The 20604-nt window shown below is 40.6% G+C and overlaps 1 long non-coding RNA gene across 4 annotated transcripts in view; it reads right to left on the bottom strand.

Annotated features, from left to right (window-relative positions):
• The window catches only part of LOC124900354 (uncharacterized), a 165186-nt gene that overhangs the window by 115413 nt on the left and 29169 nt on the right, over window positions 1-20604 (bottom strand). Inside the window, exon 1 of one of the 4 annotated variants that reach the window (XR_001751518.3) lies at window positions 18774-18855. The exons of the other annotated variants lie outside the window; for them this stretch is intronic. This is a non-coding gene — a long non-coding RNA (uncharacterized LOC124900354). Of the gene's footprint in view, window positions 1-18773; window positions 18856-20604 lie in introns of those variants that run through there. 4 annotated transcript variants of the gene reach the window in all.

The following is a 20604-nucleotide window of genomic DNA, read 5'->3' as shown; positions in this document are numbered from 1 at the left end:
CCCAACCTCCAGAACTGTGAGGAAATAAGTTTTAGTTCTTTATAAATGACCCAGTCTCAGGTATTTTGTTATATCAGCACAAATTTAGACAGTGCTCAATACACGCTCAAATGAGGGACCAACACATAAGGAGTTTCAGGACAGACAAGCCAGTATGAGAGTCCTGGGTGACGTGGGTGACATGGGATAGAGAGGAAAATGGGAGAAAGAGGAAGATACCTATGGCAATCTTGGTTTGCTTCACCCATCTTTCCTTAACATTTGTGGAAGAAGCCAAGCCTAGATTCGGAGAAATGTCAGCACAACCTTCTTCCTTTCCTGACTTCCCATGAGAAGTTAATCCCAGAGCGTGCCGTCTTTGCAAGACATCCGCTTCCCCTTTGCCTCCTTGATAGATAATGATCCCGGGGAGCCACAGACTGAACTTCTTGGAGAACTTCTAGGCATTTCCCTACTGGATAACAGATAACATGTCCCAAAGCAAACAACCTGACTGCCAGGTAAAAATAGAAGAATCTCAACATCTGTGTTTTCTCACTCTATTCACATGTCTCTCAGGGCCTGTATCTTTTTACCCCCTCCATTTGTCACACCATGGCTATGCATTAGCATATAACTCGATGGGAGTCACACCTTAGCTGCAAAGGCTTGAATGAATCCCTGCCAACATCCTGGCCCTTGGGCAAATGTGCTTAATTCCCCTTTGACTTATGTAGATTGCTGGGATTATTGAGGAACCTGATCAAGGAGATACAGGACCAGCTGTATGTTCTCATCTAAACAGTGCTGACAGCAAACCAGGTTAGAGCTGAAAGCGGGTTTATCTCTGCTCAGGGCTCTAAATCATTTCCTTCCTTCTGGAGTGTAGAACTCTGTGGGAAGAGAGTGAGTAAGGCACTCTCAAACAGGAATTACTCAAGGGCTTAGGTAGTTTTCTTCTTTTCTCATTATGAGCTGGAGAACAAAGTCTTGGCTTCATGTTCCCTTCAGGAATAAATCGTTTCCAGCTTACAGACAAGTCCCCTTGAGTGGCCTGGGAAAGGCAGCCGATTAAACATGATCACAAACTCAGTTTGCTCAAGGCCCCTTCCTGCCTGCTAACATACCACAGGCTGAAAGCGATAATTTATACAAGTTCTGGGCACCTTACTAGGGTGCTGCTTGAGAAAGCGCTTCACTCTCTGTGTGATGTTGGGCTTCAGAGTTCCAGAAAACTTAACAACCACTTCTACTTTTCATTGTGCATCACCTATTATTCAGAGATGCCTCAAACCAAAGGGGGTCAAAGAAATATTGGCCACCAAAGACAAACCACATGGACCCAGACTGCTGGCTGACTGATTTACATTAGAACCATATAATGTAGAGCTGACCACATAAAGAATTCCTCTTTCTCTCTCTCTGTCTCTCCCACCCCCATCCCCCACCCCCATAGGGTTAGACATTAGTACTGTCCTTTATTGGGATTATTTGTTCTTTTCTATGGGGTTCCAAGCCCAACCCTCAGTTCCAGGCCAAATCCTTGCTCTTAGCAGCCACTGGGGCCTTGTTAACCTAATGTCTAGTCCCTTGGATTTCTTCCCAGGATCTTTTGAACACACTTCTCTTCCTAGGCCCCCTCAATCTCTCAAGTCCCTCTTTAGTACTTTGTATCCCCTTCTCTCTTGGCTGTGCTTAAACGCCAGCTGCTGACTTCCCGGCCACCCACTACAGCTCCTTCTCCTGGGCTCGCCTCTTCCTTTGCCCTGATCCTGCCTTTCCAGCATCCTCCTCCCACAGGGACCCACTGCCCAGGTGCAGCTCACAGCCATTTCCTTGCTTATTGTCCTCTTGCCTCCCAGTCCTTGATGACACATTACATCTAGTTTCATGTGTCCAAAGCTTTTAAAGTGAATGGTTTTCATCCACCAAGAGAATCAGTGCCTATTTCCAATGAATATTGAATTGGAAGGAATGGCAATTTTCATTGAGATCTTTTTAAAAAAGGAATTTATTTTACTATTTTATTCTTTTCTGAGGTGCTTAGAAGGGAATGGAGCCAGGAGACTTACTTGGATTAGAAGTCTGGGAATTATACCACTGAAAAGCCTGTTTTGCATTATACACAGAGACAATTTAATTAATGATTAATAATTGTTAAACAGGAACAAACCACACAATTTCTTACAATGTTTATACTCCATAAGAAAATTTAATAAACCTCATAATGGAAATAGGACTTCAATTTTCATTTTACATAGATTATTTTTTCCATAATTATTGTTTTAATACTTTTTTTCCTCAAACTTTGCATTTTCTGGTTGTCTTGACCTCTGCTGTCTCTTTCTTGGCAGATAAGAAGATTGTGAAGCCCTTATCACTGTATTGCATGACTTACATAATAACTCCTATAGTTTTTGTGACAGGACAGGCACTAGGAATGGAGGCATACTTTTTAAATTTCCACAAACTTTCTTTGTATATAAATGTATCATTAAGGAAGAGCAAAAGTAAGACTCACATACAAAAAGAGCTTCGTACCCAGAGTTGCATCACAATATTTCGTTAGAGTGGAATATAGAGTATCACCTGCCTTTCAATTAATTCTTTACAAGAAAGTTTCTTCTTAAAGTAGATGCTAAAAGTGGTATTATGGGACTAAAAAAATAGGAAACCAAGCGAAGTTCAATAACGTGTATACTGGAGACACTCAGAAGGTGAAAGCTTGTGATGATTTAAAGCATGTTTTTGTCATGTATATGTATGTATTTCAATATTTACCAAAAGGTATGCTCTTAAAAAAATCGATACATAATAGTTGTACATATTTTGGGGGGTACATGTGGTGTTTTAATACATGCATGCAATGTGTAATGATCAAATCAGGGCAACTGGGATGTCCATCACTTCAAACATTTATCTTTATGTTGGGAACATTCGGATTCTTCTCTAGCTATTTTGAAATAGACCACAAACTATTGTTAACTATAGTCACTCTACTGAACTATTGAACACTAGATCTTGTTTCTTCTGTATTTTTGAGTTCATTAATCAATCTCTTCATTCCCCTCACCCTCCTACTCTTTCCAGGCTCTGGTAACCACCTATCTACTCTCTAACTCCATGAGATCCATGTTTTTAGCTTCCACATATGAGAACAAAAAATATGTTTTTTAAATTAGAAAACTAATACATACCTATTGTGAAAGTGTTGACACTATAGAAAGGAAAAAAAGAGGGAAGGAAAGAAGGAAGTTATCCAAAATCTGCATTCTCACAAAAGCAGACAGATATAAATACTAGTGTGTTGACTAGTTTTGATGGTTGTGTTCTGTTATATAGAAGAAGGTCCTTGTACAACGGATACAGGAAAGTCTTCAGGAGTGATAGGGCATCATGTTAACAGGTTACTCTTCAATGGTTTACACAAAACATCCTTGCACTGTTCTTGCAATTTTTCTGTGCATTTGAGATGGTTTCATTTGGGATTTCACTAAATTTCCTTCCTATCATTTTATCTAAGGCTAAACTTTTGTGTAGTGGAATTACTGTTTCTAGGCGGTATGTGCAACTTATTAAACTGCTTTGTTTTCTAAAAAAATACTTTATGATATCATTAAACACCCCTCATATCTTTTAACAGCCACACAAAATTCTTTCATCATGTAACTATTCCTTTATCTATTCAATTATTGCACTCTGAGTATTTGCTTACTTCCAATGCTGAATGATAAACACCTTTACGCATAACTCTTTATCCAAAATTCAAATTATTTTCCTTAGGATAGATTCCTGAAAGTGTATGAACTGAGCCAAAGGGCTGGAACACCTGTAAGACTCTTGACATATTTTGACAAATTGCCTTTCCAGAGGGTGGTACCAATTTACACTCCCAACACCAGCAAATGAGTGTATCTCACCTCACCCTTGCCAGGACTGAATGAGATAATTTTCAAAATCTTTGCTAATTGGAAGCAAAAAATAGTATTAAATTTTGGCTTTGTATTATTTTATTTCTAGAGAACGTGAAGATTTTTTTCATTTTATCAGTTAGTTAGAAAACAGATTTTTTAAAGAAAATCATGTGCAAATTTAGAAACTTATTAGACCCTCATATTGTTTTACAAATGTTGACACTCATTTCAATTATGATAAAGGGGTCTTCCAACCAGAAATGATAACTATTAAATAGTTACTATTACAGATAAGCCTGTACTGATAGAAGTAGAAGCATTAACACATGGATTTGTGCTACAAAATGTCCTGTTTTGAAGGGAACTAAGAGAATAGATTCAATCTCTCCACGAGTCTTAGACTGGGTTTCCCAGAACCAGCCCCAGAGGATACATTTGAAAGTGAAAAGTTAGGAGGAGAGTGGAAAAGTGGGAGTGGGAGAGGAAAGAAACGAAGCAAGTGTGTAGTATCAAGTGAAGCAGAATGGATGGGAACCGTGGCTTAGCCTGGCAGGATTGCTCTGGAGACAGGCAGTGTAAGCCACATCTCAGAGTTTAACAGGGGCCTGCGGAGCTGGAGTATTTATACCTCCTCCTTAGTCACTATTTAAGGCCTTGAAGGAGAGAATGTGGACATTCCCAGGCACTGGTGTCTCTCACTCTTGGCTGGCAAAGTGGGTTCCAGCAGCTGGAGGGCAGCTGTCTGACAAAGAGATGCAGGTGCTGCCTACCCGGAATGCAAACACACAGGAAGACAGGTGTGCACACAATGGTCAAAGGATGTGAAGGCATCAGGGTGGAGCACTGAGTGCATCTCCCACCCCAGGCATCCTGTGACTACCAGGCCACCCTGCACAGCTGTGAGTGACAACTCCATCGACAACCGCCTTAGGCAAAGTCAATCCCATGAGTGTTAAATGTAAATGGGGCTATGTTTTCAAGCCAAAAGTGAATCATAAAGGGTAAAACTTCTTGTCCATATCTGTATAGGGGTGGGGATAACTTGAAAATGCAAAAGAAAGCCAAAGGGGAAGAGTCAAAGTGGGTGGAGGGAAAACTGAAACAAAAAGGAAACTGATGGTACAAACATCCATTTTTCCTTCCAGAGGCACTGGTTGGGAGATGCATTAGGAGACTGGGTGGCTAAGAGAATTTCAGGTCTGGGAGCAGAAAAGGGAATCACACAGGCCCACATTAGCTGTGGCCAGGATTTGGAGTTTCTTGTAGGTCTTATTTCTGTTTCACTTTATAAGACAATATAAGCATTGGCTGAAGAAATTAAATAATGTATATGCTTGGAAAATCCATGAAAAGATCTGAATATTTTGTGTATTCGATGCAAATATTTCTTTGAGTGCCCTGTAAAATACAGATTTTCTAACACGGTAAATCACTGGATATCATAATGGTGAGGGATGGCATGAGAGAGAGGAGGTCCTGGGATCAACCCCTTCACCTCCATTTTACTCTTTCTCCTTGAGTAAATTGGGAATCAACAAATAAACAAACTCTAAGGAACAAATCAAACAAATATCTACAAGCACCTCAGAACACCTACCAGCACCCTTTGAAGCTAGAGTCCTGCATGAATTAGTTTCCTCTAATGAGATGCACTTGTGGGTGGGGTTTTTAGAATACGAAAGTGAGAAAAATGGAATCTGTCTGCAGCTTCAGGTTGTTACCACTGGTTGGAAAGGTGGTAGTTTTTTGGCAGCAATTTCCAGAATTGCTTCTTGGATGTCAAGAAACAACGGTGGTAGCAATAGGTCTCTTGCTTTGACTTCCCAATACATGAGTAACATTTTAGGGGCCCTTTTTTTGGTTTTCAGGTGTCCAAAGGCCACTGCGGAAGGGGCAGGGGCTGCTAGGGAGGGGGCTGCTGCTCTGACTCCTGCTGACCAAGCCTCAAGTTGTCCTCCTGCCTCAGCCTCCCAAAGTGCTAGGATCACAGGTGTGAGCCACTGCACCCACCTCATAAGTTGAGAGTTTGATGAGGAATAGAATATCTATCAAGTCTCAAAGTACTTCCCTATAAAATACTTTTAAATGCAAAGGAAAAAAAAAGATTAACTTCACAGTGGAGAAACTGGCAGACTCCGCCTTAATCAACTGATCAAAGTTAACATCACCAGTGATGGAAGAAATTGAAATCATGTGCCACCTTGCAGGATGCAGTGAAAAGAACAGTGTCGCTTCAGTGGCATTTGTGCCAAAGATGCGTAATCGGAATCTAATCACAACCAGTTATCAGACAACCCTAAATTGAGGGACAGTCTACAAAATAACTGATCTGTAATTTTAAAATGTCTAGATTATGAAAGACTGAAAAACTCTTTAAAATGAAAGGACACTAAATATACATAGTAACTACATGCAACTTGTTTTTTCAGACTGGATTATTTTGCCCTAAACAGCATTATTGTGACAATAGGTGAGACTTTAATGGGTCTGAGAATTAGATAGTTGTAGTCTATCAATGTTACTTTCCAAGTTTTGATGGTTGTATTGGCTTATATAGGAGAAGGTCCTTGTAAGAATGATACAGGAGGTCTTCAGGAGTAATAGGGCATCATGTTAAGAAGTTACTCTTCAGTGGTTTACACAAAACATCTTTGTACTGTTCTTGCAATTCTTCCGTGCATTTGAGATTGTTTCTTTCCTCTCTCTCTCACACACACACATACACACACAAACACGGATACACACATACACACACACACACACACCAGTTGTTTAGAGTACTATGCTTGAGGACCATGAAGAAGGAAAGGTGTTGCTGTGGAAGGCTCAGAGGCAGGGAACTTAAGAAGAAAATTTCTTCATCTCTAAGGTTGTGGCAGAGAGAATGGCTGCAAGCCAACATGGAGTCTCCCATTCAGGGCAGCTCCTTTAGGGGGTCTTTGAAAAAAATAAGACAGCACAGAACCAGACAATGGGGGAGCAGTGTTTACAGCTGGTGAGGCCCACTGAGACTGACTTGGGTGGGGCTGCCAGGGTGGGTTTTGATCACACCAATGTCCGATCATCATCACTCATCACGTCTTTATGCACCCGAAAACAGCCTCCCCCATCCTGTCACCTTGGGCTGTTCCAGGAGCAGCGCAGACCCAGGGAGCCTACTTACGGTCTTGACACATGTCAGGCCATGCTGTGTCTAACACTTGATAAGAATGAGCACCTGTTATTCTTACTGTAACCCATTCTTTCTATGCTGGTGACCTACCCTGTGAGTTTTCGACCTTGTTCTAGCTCAGTCTTCCCGTCCCCATGGCTCTCCACCTCTTGCCTCCTTTCCTGTCTATAGCTCTGGTCTCTGCCCTTGGTGTGCTTCTATTCCTCCTTCCTTCAGTGGCAATCCTGGTTATCAGTCAGGTCCTGAGTGAAAAGATTGGCCTTTGGCTGGGAACACCTCTTCCTGCTGAGAGAAGCTGGAGCAAGTGGCCTACTGGAAGGGGTCCATGGGATCACACAGCTTAATTCCATCATTTCACAGTGAGGAGGCTGAGGCCTGGAGAGACTGTGTGACATGCCAGTGTAATATGACAGAGCCAGGAGCAAACCCCAGGTGTTCTGTGTCTTGGCTCCATGTGTCTACTACAGAATATGTTGGAGTCAAAATGGTGGTAGCAAAAAAAAAAAAAAAAAAAAAGAAGAAGTGGAAAAATAGAGAAGAACATCTTACAGAAGCCATAGAATTCAAGTTAAAATATTATCAATTTTATCTGGAAAGGAAGAAGTTATTAAAGCGGGGTGATGTATTTAAGATGGATTATTTGGGTACTAGCTTAAGATGGGATTTCTCAACAGCAGTACTGTTGCTACTTAGGGCCAGATAATTCTTTGTTGCAGGGGCTGCCCTGTGCATTGTTGGATGTTTAACAGCATCCCTGGCCTCTACTCACTAGATGCAGGGGCACCTCCCTAATTGTGACTATCAAAAATGTATTCAACATTGCCAGATGTTCCTTGGGGTCCAAAATTGCTCATGGTTGAGAACCACTGGTTTAATGGTTGGACTGGAACCAAGATGCACTGGGACAAGAGACATGGGTAGGAGTTTATAAGAGTTTACAGTCACCGAGGTAGTGCAGCCCTTGGCTAAGATCTCAGGCTCTGGAGACGATTGCCTGTCTTGAATCATGACCAAACCATTTACCAGCTGGTGGCTTCCTGTGAGTTCTTTAAAATAAGAGTGGTATTAACCTCTATCTTTTAGGATTGTTGTAAAATAATATCTACAAAACACTGCTAGCAGGGCATAGCAAATAGGAAGAGGTTTCATATGTGAAGAGAAATGGAGGGAAAATGCGCAAGCCTTGATGACTGAGAGTGTGGCATATGACGCAAGCTCCAAGTGAAGTCAAGGTGACATGCTTCCCAGGTACATGACACCAGGTGTGGTGGGCAAAACAGCCTACCTAGACCATTCTAGGCAGCCTATTGACTAGTATATTTTGTCAATAACAATTTGATGACTGATGGATAAATTAGATGAGCGGGCACTTAAAGAGTTTTCACTGAAAAACAGACAGGTCAGCTTTTACTAAACATCGTACAGAAGTGTGAATCCAAGAAAAGTAATCAAGTTAGTTGCCTCATCTTTGATTCAAATACAAAGATAGGTATGGATGTGCATATTTATTTAGAGTGAGAAAATAAACCATGACAAATGCCTGAAGCTCAGCACCTTTCCTTTCCTGATGTCTTTAGGCAACTTACCAGAAATGCTTACCCCGAAATGATTCCTGAGTGCAACCTGCCTTCTCCTTGGCACCCAGAACACTCTACAACTGCCAGCAGGCACAGGGGCCCATGCAAGTGCAGGGGCTTGAAGTTTTAGCTTTATTAACTCCATGCTAAAGCCACCACTAACCAAAGTATGCAAATCCCAGGGGACTGTGCAATAGTGTTACTATAGCACTATGTGCATTGTTCATGGACATTCAGGAAATATTTCATGGAAATGAAAAGTTTCCTCACAATAACCCCAGCATATCTGAGCTCCTGTTTTCTGTAACATCCAAATGGTGTGCAGGAAGACACTCCAGCCATGGGTATGTGAATGGGTTCACTTGGCTTCTGTTTGGTTTTTACATTTGTATTGTTTGCTCTGCCAGAGGTACGCATTTATTTTATTTTCCCCGCTGAAAATTTATGATTCTCCCACTATGAGACCTCACTTCCTTTCACAAAATTCTTTTTTTTTTTTTTTTTTTTTTTTGAGATGGAGTCTCGCTCTGTCGCCCAGGCTGGAGTACAGCAGCACGATCTCGACTCACTGAAAGCTCTCCCTCCCGGGTTCACGCCATTCTCCTGCCTCAGCTATTTGTATAACTTTTTATGCTTTTCAATGCAGTTTCATACACATTAACCCACGTGTACTACTATTTTTGCATCAGAAATGGCTGTTGGCCCAAGATAGAATTTCCAATTTTATTCTTAAACTTTTGTGGTCCTTCCATAGTTTGCTTTTTAAAGAATATTATATGTTGTTCAGTCCACAAAGTTCATTCCTAATTAAAGCAAGTTCGGGATATAAACGGAAACGACCAGCAGTGGGGGCAGATTACTAACACTTTATGGCGCATTTATTCTAAACTTAGACAATACCCTCAGAGTCTTCCAAATTGAATCACAACCTCATAATTACTACTTCCTGTCCTTTCCCTCTGTGTGAAATTGTCTGTCCCAGGGGCACTGCACAGTATTGTCAGATATTTGTTCTTTATAGATTGTGTGCCACCATACATGAACTGAGACTAGCAAGATGGCACTTTCCATTTTTCATGAAGAGACAATTAAAAAATAAAATCTAGATAACTGCATACTTTCGGTAAACATATTGATCTCTCCCCTAAAAGTCACTGTTTTTAAAATCTTACTTTTAAAGCTAAAATTTTTGAAGTTTGTGAATCCAATCAAATTCCATAGAAGAATTTGAAGAATTTCATTCTATACACGTGTGTGCTCACATGCTCATATATTGCTGTATTGTGCTGTTTTATAGATGATTAATATATATTAAAATAATACATACTATTAATATATATTTACGTATAATATATAAACTGCATCATGCAGTTTTATAGGTGATTAATATGAGAGGCAATTTTCATTTACTTGGCAGCAATATATATATGCATAAGGAAATAACACTAGTTTAAAATTTATTAACAATTGGAAGCTTTTCCAAATTTTCTCCAACCAGATTTAAAGACAGAGAAGAAAAAAACTCAGTTTCAAAATAATTGAGGTTCAATGTCATGTACCAGGAATTCCATATTCTGTTGGGTGACAAATATCTAATGGATATGGGGGCAGAGTGAGGTGAGGGGAGGTGAAGGAGAGGAGAGGAAAAACACTAACTTGTCTAAAAATAGGAAGTGTTACTTAAGGCTGGTGTACCCTTCCTCATGTGTGATCATAAAAAAGTGCAATTCATAGCTGACTTTACTAGGAGAATTAAGTACTCAGATGCACCCATCCAAAATTGCAAATTGAAGGTAAGTTTGATAATTAGCTTTAATAATAATGTTGCATAATAGTAACCAAGGGAAGAATTTGGATAGCTGTGAATTTTTTCCTGTGAAAACCACATTTCAGATGAATGAACAACAGCTAAAACTGTGATGAATCTAGGGCTCTAGCAGAAGCCAAAAGCTGACTCAATTCATTTGTAGTTAACTGATCTAATTCCTGGTCAATAGCAGGTGACATGAAGCTGTAGTTAAATGAACCACATATCTGCATCTCATACCTGGAGAGGTTTATGGTCACTTGGGATGAGTTAGCCATCTCTTTGCCTGGTATATCTCCAACTATCTATGCATCAAAGACTATGCTTATCTCTCCTGGCATTTGGTTTCAGAGAGTGTGACTATGCCTACAGAATTATGAACATCTCTATCCTTCTCCCTATTAGGTTGGTACATATCACCTGCTGATTAATGGCTTGATTCTTAGGTCTTGACATCCCTGTAGACTGCCAGCATTTATCATCATTGGGAAACTTGTTGGCAATGCAGCCTTGAGTCCAACCCCAGACATCCTGAATCAGAATGGGTATTTTAACAATTCCCAGGTGATTCAAAGTTACCTTAGTATTGGAGAACCACTGCTTTGCACGACATATCACAATTTTTAAAAAAATCAGTATTGTCACAAAAGCCTCCAAACCCATCCTCCAATCACCATTCTCACCCCATTTCATTAACATCTTCATGCAGCCCCCAAGTGCATTTCTAAGGCACAGTTTGGATGGTAAAGGAAGTGCACTTACAGTCTCCCAAAGGCTTCCTGCAGCCTTCAGGATTAAGTTCCAACCTAGCCCTTTCTGATCTCTTCCTGCCTACCATGCCAGATGTACTTCTTAACAGGGGCAGGGATGCCAACTCTAAATTAGATGGTCTGAGAAGTCTTCTGGAGGAGGTGATAGTTGAACAGAGCCCAAGTGACAGGAGCCTGCTATGCCAGGGACATGCCTCCTTGCCTTTACACAATCTGTTTCCTTTACCTGGGGGAATGTGGTCACTTTGCTCTGCTCCCTGCATCAATTTTGTATTCATTTTCCCAGATTCAACTGAAATGTCATCCCCTCTTAAAGAGTCTTTTCATAGCAACCCTGGTTCCGCTCTGAATTAGTTCCCTTGCTCTGGACTCACATGGCCCTATGTGTCAGCTACAAGTGATCCAGATGTGTACGACCTCCAGCCCTGTGTGTCAGGCTAAAATGGCAATGTGTGGGTTTGATTCTCCAGAAGCAGACACAGATATAGAGTTGAGGGTAAAAGATTTTCATTCAGGATCAACAGTTATGGATAGAAGACAGACAAATCAGTACTGGTTGAAGACATTAAGCCATGATACAGATCTGATAAAACCTTGGCCAACCCAGTGGGGAGCTCTAGAGAGAATATTTTCCATTACAGTGTCCAGGATGGGGCCAAAATGGTGGGACTTTGTAACCCCACCTGACTTAAGAGCAGAATGCAGATGGCCCAGGAAGGGTGTCCTCTTCCTGGGCCACCTGCAGGAAGAGGCAATGCAGTCCTCTGCAGCTGAGACAGACCATGAAGGGACTGACAGCTAGAAGCTGTCTGGGGCCCCATTACCTGCCACTGGCCACCAAGTCTTTTCTTGAAGAGAAATCTATGTTGTACATCTCTATGTCTACCTCAGTACTCATAAAAAATGCATATATTATTCACTGGAGATATACATATGGGTAAATATTATAGAGAATCACTGTTACACTTGTAACTTTTAGTTGTTCCATAATCACAGCTAAAGAAAAGTTATGGTTTTGGTATTGATTATCCACAGTGCATACCTGTTTTAAATTTAAATACCATGTGTATAAATATTTAAAGTTTTTAATGTATAAAATGAGTTTGCTTCTTGTTTGTTAACTAATATAGTCTAGGTTGGATGATACTACTACTCACAGGGGATAACATGTATCTAAACTACTTCTGTGTTTTATCTTCATAGCAGTCATAGAGAGACCAATATTATGGAAATAGGCTGATGGAAATGGAAGATGTTTTTAAAGCAATTTACATCAGCCTAGGATATTAACTTTTATCCAAAGTGAAGTGATAATGTATTTTCAAAATTCATCTTCCATACGATTCAGTAGCCACTTCTAAAAATTTAACCTGTAAATTTACAATTAAAATTAAATTTTTTGTGGTGAGTGAAATAAATTCTGAATTTTATCTTTTTAAAGGTCGCAGTGAAAAATTAATCCTAAACTATCACATGTTGTAACATAGCCTTGCTGCACGTGTTGTGCGCCCCGCACAACTCCCCAGCTGAGATTAGCAATGCCCACACTGGTCCTTATCCTGTTCAGCAAGGCAGGTCCACTCATCATGGACTTGGATGGTGGGGCAAGATCAAATTGCTATTTGATTGAACGTTTATTCTCAATTTCTTTACTTTTCTTATCACAGAGTGGCAAAAATTTTTTCACAGACTGGTCTGAGGACACAATTTGAGGAGCCCCGAATTATATAATGAAATAAATATGAAGTGAAAGTGATATAGATTTGGGGCCAAGAAAAATCTTATGCAAACTGAAAGTTTGGGGAAACAGAAGAGTCTCAGTCTGCAAAGAGACGAGTAGAGAAAAAGTCAAAGCCTATGGAGTTCATTCAGATACAGGGAAGCAGCCTCATTTCTTGACCTTTGCCAGTTGGACCCTAGAAGATGTTGCCATCAATGAAATTGTCTTCTTGGCCTGACCTGTTTTGAGTGTAGTTCTGTTTTGTGCAACAAAAGGATCCCTGGCTAGGATGTTATATGTCATTAATACACCACCACCGAAAAAGCGATTTTAGAGTGAATATGTAAGCCTTTTTAATCCAAAGCTGGCTGCCCAGGTTCAGCTACAAGTGATCCAGATGTGTATGACCTCCAGAAAACAAGGTTGAAAACACTATTAGCTTGGATAGGTATTCTGGTCTGTTTCTTTCTTTCTTTTTTTTTTTGAGACAGAGTCTGGCTCTGTCGCCCAGGCTGGAGTGCAGTGGCGCAATCTCGGCTCACTGCAAGCTCCGCCTCCCGGGTTCACGCCATTCTCCTGCCTCAGCCTCCCGAGTAGCTGGGACTACAGGCGCCCGCCACTATGCCCGGCTAAATTTTTGTATTTTTAGTAGAGACGGGGTTTCACCGTGTTAGCCAGGATGGTCTCGATCTCCTGACCTCATGATCCACCCGCGTCTGCCTCCCAAAGTGCTGGGATTACAGGCTTGAGCCACCGCGCCCGGCCTCTGGTCTGTTTCTTTTTGCTAACACTACCAGGGTATTGTGATATTCTAAGCCTTAGTGCATATGGGAACATCTTGATTTATTCTGAAAGTTTTGGAGAAAGGAGCAAGAAGTTGTAAGGTGGACAAGAGAGTGGAAGGTCAATGGCCATCTTCAAATCATGTTCCAAGTTTGTGACTGCTGGCTGTGAATTGTATAGGAAGGGGATTTCCATGCCAGTAGCTCTGGTCAAGGCTGATGTCATTGACTAACAAGCATGACCAATGGCTGCTGCTGCAAAAAAGATGACGAAAATGTGACTACTGCTACTAGCTGGACTTTTCTCAGGGAAAGATGAGATGGATCCACCTGGAATTGCCTGGATCAGGAAATTGGGCTATTATATCTATCTATCTATCTATCTATCTATCTATCTATCTATCTATCTATCTATCATCTATCTATCTATCCTCCTATACATATCCTGCTATATATATATATATCTCCTACAAACAATTTAATAGACTTTTTGTTGTCGTCATTTTGTTCACTGGTATAATTCTACCTTGCCTTCACATATGTGGGTGTTTGTTATTTGCTGATGAGCATTCAAGATGATGTTTATATATTCTGGTTTTGCACAGATGTGCCTAGGGATTCAAAACATTGAGACTTCATTATGCCTCTTTTAATGACTAGATATTTATTGACTAAATTAATTAACACATTTATATATTCTTAGTCACAAATATCTCCATTGTCAATGATTTAGTTTTTCCATGGGAGACATTGGAGTCATTCATTAGGGTATATCATTAGACTCCTGCAAAACAAAAATAATCCTAAACTATTATTATCCCTGGAAAACCACATTAAATGAGAGCACATACATTAAAAGAGTTACTGGGGAATCATGAGCAGCTCATTTCTGTTGTAGCTCCTAAAATCTGAGCAGCATGCATGGAGGATGATGATATTGGCTAACTCAAAGATTTCACCTCTGACAGTAAGGAAACATGCCAATCAATTCATACTTTTAGGAGGTGATAAGAAAACAGAAACCATTAGGACCAAAATTATGGGGATCAGCAAAAGAGAATCATTCTGGACTTAACAGATGCCAACTCATACTCTGGTTTTATTCCCACATGAATTCATTATATATCAAATAGAAACTCTATATCTCTTAAAACTCTCAACTCTTTCACTTGGGGAGTAGGAGCCAGTAACATTTCTGACCTATTGACTGACAAATATCCACCCTAAACTGGCCATAGTTCATTAAAAATAATATGTATGTGTGTGTTTTATGTCATCATTTTATTGAGCCCCAAACGTTCATTGCTCATTCTGAGGCTAGGAGGTTAAATTGATGATATTGCAGTATTTATCTAACTTTTCTGAAAGTTATTCTCCATAACCTCAGGTTTGACTATTTGAGGGAAACTTCAGGCACAGGGATTTTTTAGCACATTCTGCTTTTGAGAAACAGGCTGCTAAAACTGTAGATGCAATAAACATCACACACTCAGTTTGCTTACCACCATCCCGCACCCCTCCACAACTTCGGTTGTTGACAATAGGCAGGTTTTAATATGTCAGTTCACAAAGCTCTCAGGCCAACGTCACGTTTTTGTCACTGTGAAGTCAGTGGATGTGCTCAGCATTGTCTGCCCTTTGTGGTGTGGGGCATGAGCTTTACATAAGCTGGCATGACACATGTGGACAAACTGTCTAAGCAACTTGGGGAATTTAAAATACACGGTTATATGCCTCAGATGTACCTTACCCAAAGGCTTCCATTTCCTAACTTTGTCCTAGATCGAAGCCTTGACTCTTTCTCCCTCTGCCTCTCTCTTTAGGCTTAAGTTGGAGCATGGGGACGATAACACAGCATTCAAGAAAAAGGTGATTTCTGCTCAAAGATGTACTAAGCATTTTTTAAGCCTCATTATGTAAATTATTACCCTAATACACAGATTCTTCTCTTGTTCAACAGAGCCCTTAGACATTAGACAGCCCACTATAAACTCAGAATATTAAAAAGGTTTTTTATCCAGTTACTCATTAACAAGCATTTTGGAGTTCCTACTATGCTCCTGATGTACAAAGGTCTAGCTAAGGCCGTTTCAGAGATTCAGGTCCAAGGCTAATTATATTGTGTTTTCTTCCAATTGTATCCTCCTCTCTCTAATATTTTTATATAGGCAAGAGTAGGCTAAAATTAACTTCTAGCTTGAAATGTAGAAAGAGTAGCATAAAGACAACCTACAGACTGCAGAGCCAATGTGAAGATTGGGGAGGACTGACCTGTATTTCTCAACATGTGGCTTTGGGGTTTGGGGGTAAAAAAGGAAGGGAGGTTCTAGAATAACCCATGAAACTCAAGAGTGTTTAGCATCAGCTCTTGAGTCACCGTCTTTGCCCTCACATGTGTCCTTTCTTAGTCACTGCCAGGTCCTTGTCAGGGCTCTTCCCAAGAAGAAGAGGAGCAAGGCAAGGTCAGCAAAGAATATACCATCTCAGGTTAGTCTTGAAGGTAAGCACAGTACTTCTTAGTGAAGACCACAGGAGTCATTCTTCCAAAAAAGCCCACAACACACTGGTCTCACAAGGCTCACTAGGGTCAGACCGGAGACCAGGGGTCGGGGTGGCATGGGTGACAAGCGCAGCTGGGCTGGTAGTGCTGGCAGTCTTGTTTCCTCTGCCTCTGGCTTCCCATTTTCTCACAGCTGGACCACTGATTCCCCTCCACACGTATTCTCCATCTTGGTCCTGCTCTTTGCCAATCTTGATGCTAACTGAAGAGTACGTCCGTAGTCTTTTCTCCACCAGGATTACACACCCAGATTTACATCACCATTAGGCACCGGGGGTCAAATGGCCCATACACACCTGCAGGGCTCCCAGCATTGCTCTATATTCACTGATCGTACCCAGACCAATGAGTCCCCCTGGAGTGATGCCTAGATTGAGATTTATGCAAGTTACAATTGCCTTCTGCCCAGCTCCTGCTCTTCTAGGACTAGAATTTTTCTATTGCTTGGTCCCTGGACTCAGGGATTTATGATTCTGCCTTAACTTTGATGATATTTCCTCCTCTCTGGGGTGGGAATTTTCATCCTTGACTCCAGCCTAGTTGCTGGGATCCTACTCCCCACAGAGAGAGTTTGCAGGATGATTATCTGTCTTCCAGCACTCTGATCTCTGGATTTGGGTCCATGTCCCTTGCTGGCCCAATTGGAAGCCCCACTTGGAAGCCAAATGTTATTTGAATCATGACTGACACTGGTATTGGCTTAAATACTATTTAAAAGAGTTTGGCACTATTCTTTTCTGTTCTTCTTGGGCCAGGAGTCAGCATCTACATCCCACTTTCCCACCACAAATTCTGCCCCTATATGTGGCTGGAGAACCAACATGCATTGTACTCAAATACAATTTAATCAAATATAAAGACATGCTATGTACATGAGAACCATGGACCAGGCTGATGGACAATCTCAACTGATTACTGTGATGTTAAAATTCTGGTTTTCTATGTAATAACAAAAATAATAATAAACAGAAGCAGCAGCATTAACACTGGTGTAATGCAATACTTTGTATGTGTACTTATTTGGTCCATACAACAAGCCTATGTGAGTGCTGTTGTAACCTCCATTTTACAAAGAGGAAAAATCAGGTCACAGAGAGGGAAACTGACTTGCTCATGGCAACATGGCTGGTGAGCAAGATGGCTGGGATTCAAACCCAGGCATGCTGCCTTCCAAGCCCACATTTTCACCATCATGCTCCACTGCCTCTCTGAAACAGGGGGACACCTTAGGCTCACAGTGTAATTCGTGGTAAACTCGAGAGTACTTTTGGAACTATTTACATAAAATATTTCTGTTTCAGTAGAATAACTACTAACTAAAGCTAATTTTAGGTTTGTACCCTGCCAACAACACTCACACACACACACACACACACACGCACAAACACACAGACTGACAGAGACACATATTTACCTCTCATTGTATACATGATCAATTTGGGTAAGAGTTTTGGAATGAAAATCAAATACCATAAAATATATAAAGGGATTAACACTGTGCCTTGTGTGTCATAAACATTTGATAATATGTTTTTTACTTACGTTTATTATCATCCTTAATACCTGACATGTCAGTATTATGAATTAATATGCAGTCTTCCCATACTACTATCCTAGATACAGTCACTCACTATAAAAATATATGAGAGAAACATAACATGTTGCCTTTTTCACTGTGGTCCTCTGCCTTTGGACATCTCCCTAGAATGCCTTGCATGACTATTTCCCCATATGTAAAATGGATGCTAAAATTTTGTCTTTTGACATCACAATAATGTTGGGAGGTAAAATAAAATAATTTGCAAATTAAAACCCTGTGAAATGGACAGTTTTAATGAAATACTAGGAAAGCTCCTTAAAATTAGAAATATACCATTTTGAAGCAGTTTTTATTAACAAGAAATAGCATGTCCAATAAAGATCATAAAATTCTTTTCAAGTACATAAAATGGGGACTTCTCTCTCTCTCCTCTCTCTCTCTCTCTCTCTCTCCATAAACACACACACACACACACACACACACACACACACACACACCCCTATGTATCTCTCCAGGGCCAGCTTCATGGGTGTGATCTGTGCAGTCCCACAGGGTCTCATGCTTACAGGGTCCCTGTGCTTGCTCTGCTGCACTGCTTTGAATGTTTAAATAATTAATGAACTGGGGCCCCACATTTTCATTTTGTACTGAAACCCACCAAGAATGTAGCTGGTCCTATATCTACCATCTATCCTACCTATCTCAGATCTGTAATGGGACCTATCTTGCATTGTAGAATTGATTCACTTGGAGAGCGTTTTCTCCACAGGGTATGGTAACTCCTAACAAGGGGCTTAAGCCAAATGTGTAACAGAGGAGAATTAACACATTTACAATAATAATTATTCTTTTTACTATGACTAAATTTAGACACTTATGTCCTGGCAAAGTGACTTAATCAAAAACTAAGTAAGGTTCATTTGGGAGGAGAAAAAAAAAGTGTCAGCAATACCTGTGTAAGTCAGGGAGGAAAGTGTTACTTTGAGAATGCTCCCACTTTTGGACCTGGTTGTTAAGCAGCTCCCATGTTCAGCTGTCCATGCTGGGGCCTGGATGATGAAAACAGATGGCCATGAGGGCTGCACTTCTCCTTGTCCCTTGTCCTGGGCAAGGGCTACACACCACCCTCCAGCAGGCTTCAATCTCATACTTAGAGCGGCTCTTGTTTCCTTGCCAGTCATTTTTGAAAACAGTTTCATTGCTATATAATTCACATATCATAAAATCCACCCTTTAAAAGTGTAAAATTCAGTGTGTGTGTGTGTGTGTGTGTGTTTTACCATATTCACAGAGTTGTGCAACTATCACCACAGTCAATTTTAAACATTTTTCAATATCACCCAAAGAAATCTTCTGGTTAGCAGTTTCTTTCCTGTCCTCTTTCTCTGCCCTTCCCTTAGCCCCTGGAAACCAGAAATCTACTTCTGTCTCTATGGATTTGCCTATTGTAGACATTTCATGTAAATTGAATCACACAGTATTTGTCCTACTGTAGGACAAATTATTTTGCTTAGCATAATGTTTTCAAGGTTCATCCTTATTGAAGCATGTATCAGTACTTCATTCCATGATATGGCCAAGTAACATTTCATTATACAGATATACTATGCTATGGTTTGAATGTGTCCCCAGAAAGCATGTGTTGGCAACTTAATCTTGGATGTAACACTATTGGGAACTGGGGCCTACTGAGAGGTGATTAGGCCATGGGGGTTCTGAACTCACAAATGGATTAATGCCATTATGCAGGAGTGGGTTACAGAACAAGCTTGGCCCCCTTTTCTCTGACACATGCACCCTCTACCTTCCACCATGGATGACATAGTAAGAAGGTCCTCACCAGATGCCAGCCCTTGATCTCAGACTTCCCAGCTTTCAGAACCATGAGAAAATACATTTCTGTTCATGATAAATTACCCAGTCTTAGGTATTCTGTCACAGCCCTGCAAAATGGACTAAGACATACCACATTTAATTATTCATTCATCAGTTGGTGGACATTTGGGTTGTTTCCACTTTGGAACTATTATGAATGATGCTGCCAATAATATTCACATACAAGATTTTGTGCAGATATATGCTTTCATTTTTGGGGGTACATACATATGAGTGGAATTACTGAGTCAGGCAGTAAGCCAGTCATTTTTCTACATAGCTATGCAAAGAAGGTTCTTCTATCAGTATCACTAAAACCAAATTAGACATTGAATATGAAAATCCCTAAGGCTCCAAATTAGATAGTAGTGAAATCTTTCATACTTAGATTCAAAACTTGGAGCCAGATTTGCTAGAACAGCCATGGCATAACTGGTTTTATAATTAAGTAAACAAACCCCAGAAAAGGTAATATTTTTGCCCTCTAGCCCAGTTAGAGCAGATAATCCAAGATTTTTTTCTTGACTTCTGCCAAAAATTGCATTTGGCATCTGCTCAGGATCATACTATCTCCTGAGGCACTTTGGGAGGTCTGGCCTGGGAGATATTTGTAGAGAAATATACCAAAAATTAACCAAGTCCCTGTGTGTGTGCCTAGGACACAGGCTCAGGAGGGAGCAGCTTCAGGAAGGGAAATTAATTTGAGGTAAGAGGTTTTCAAAAAATACTGTGGCTATTGCTAAGGCAATGTTTTCAGACTTTAAAGTACACGCAAGTAGCCCAGGCATGTTGGTAAGTGCATAAAGTGATTTAGCAGGTTTGAAGAGGAGGATTAGAGCCTGCATTTCTTTTCTTTTCTTTCTTTCTTTCTTTCTTTCTTTCTTTCTTTCTTTCTTTCTTTCTTTCTT

This window comes from Homo sapiens, chromosome 15 (assembly GCF_000001405.40).
Source record: "Homo sapiens chromosome 15, GRCh38.p14 Primary Assembly".
Classification (NCBI taxonomy): Eukaryota; Metazoa; Chordata; class Mammalia; order Primates; family Hominidae; genus Homo; species Homo sapiens.
The sequence above is the reverse complement of the archived record's forward strand: the minus strand, read 5'-3'. Positions and strand labels throughout refer to the sequence as shown.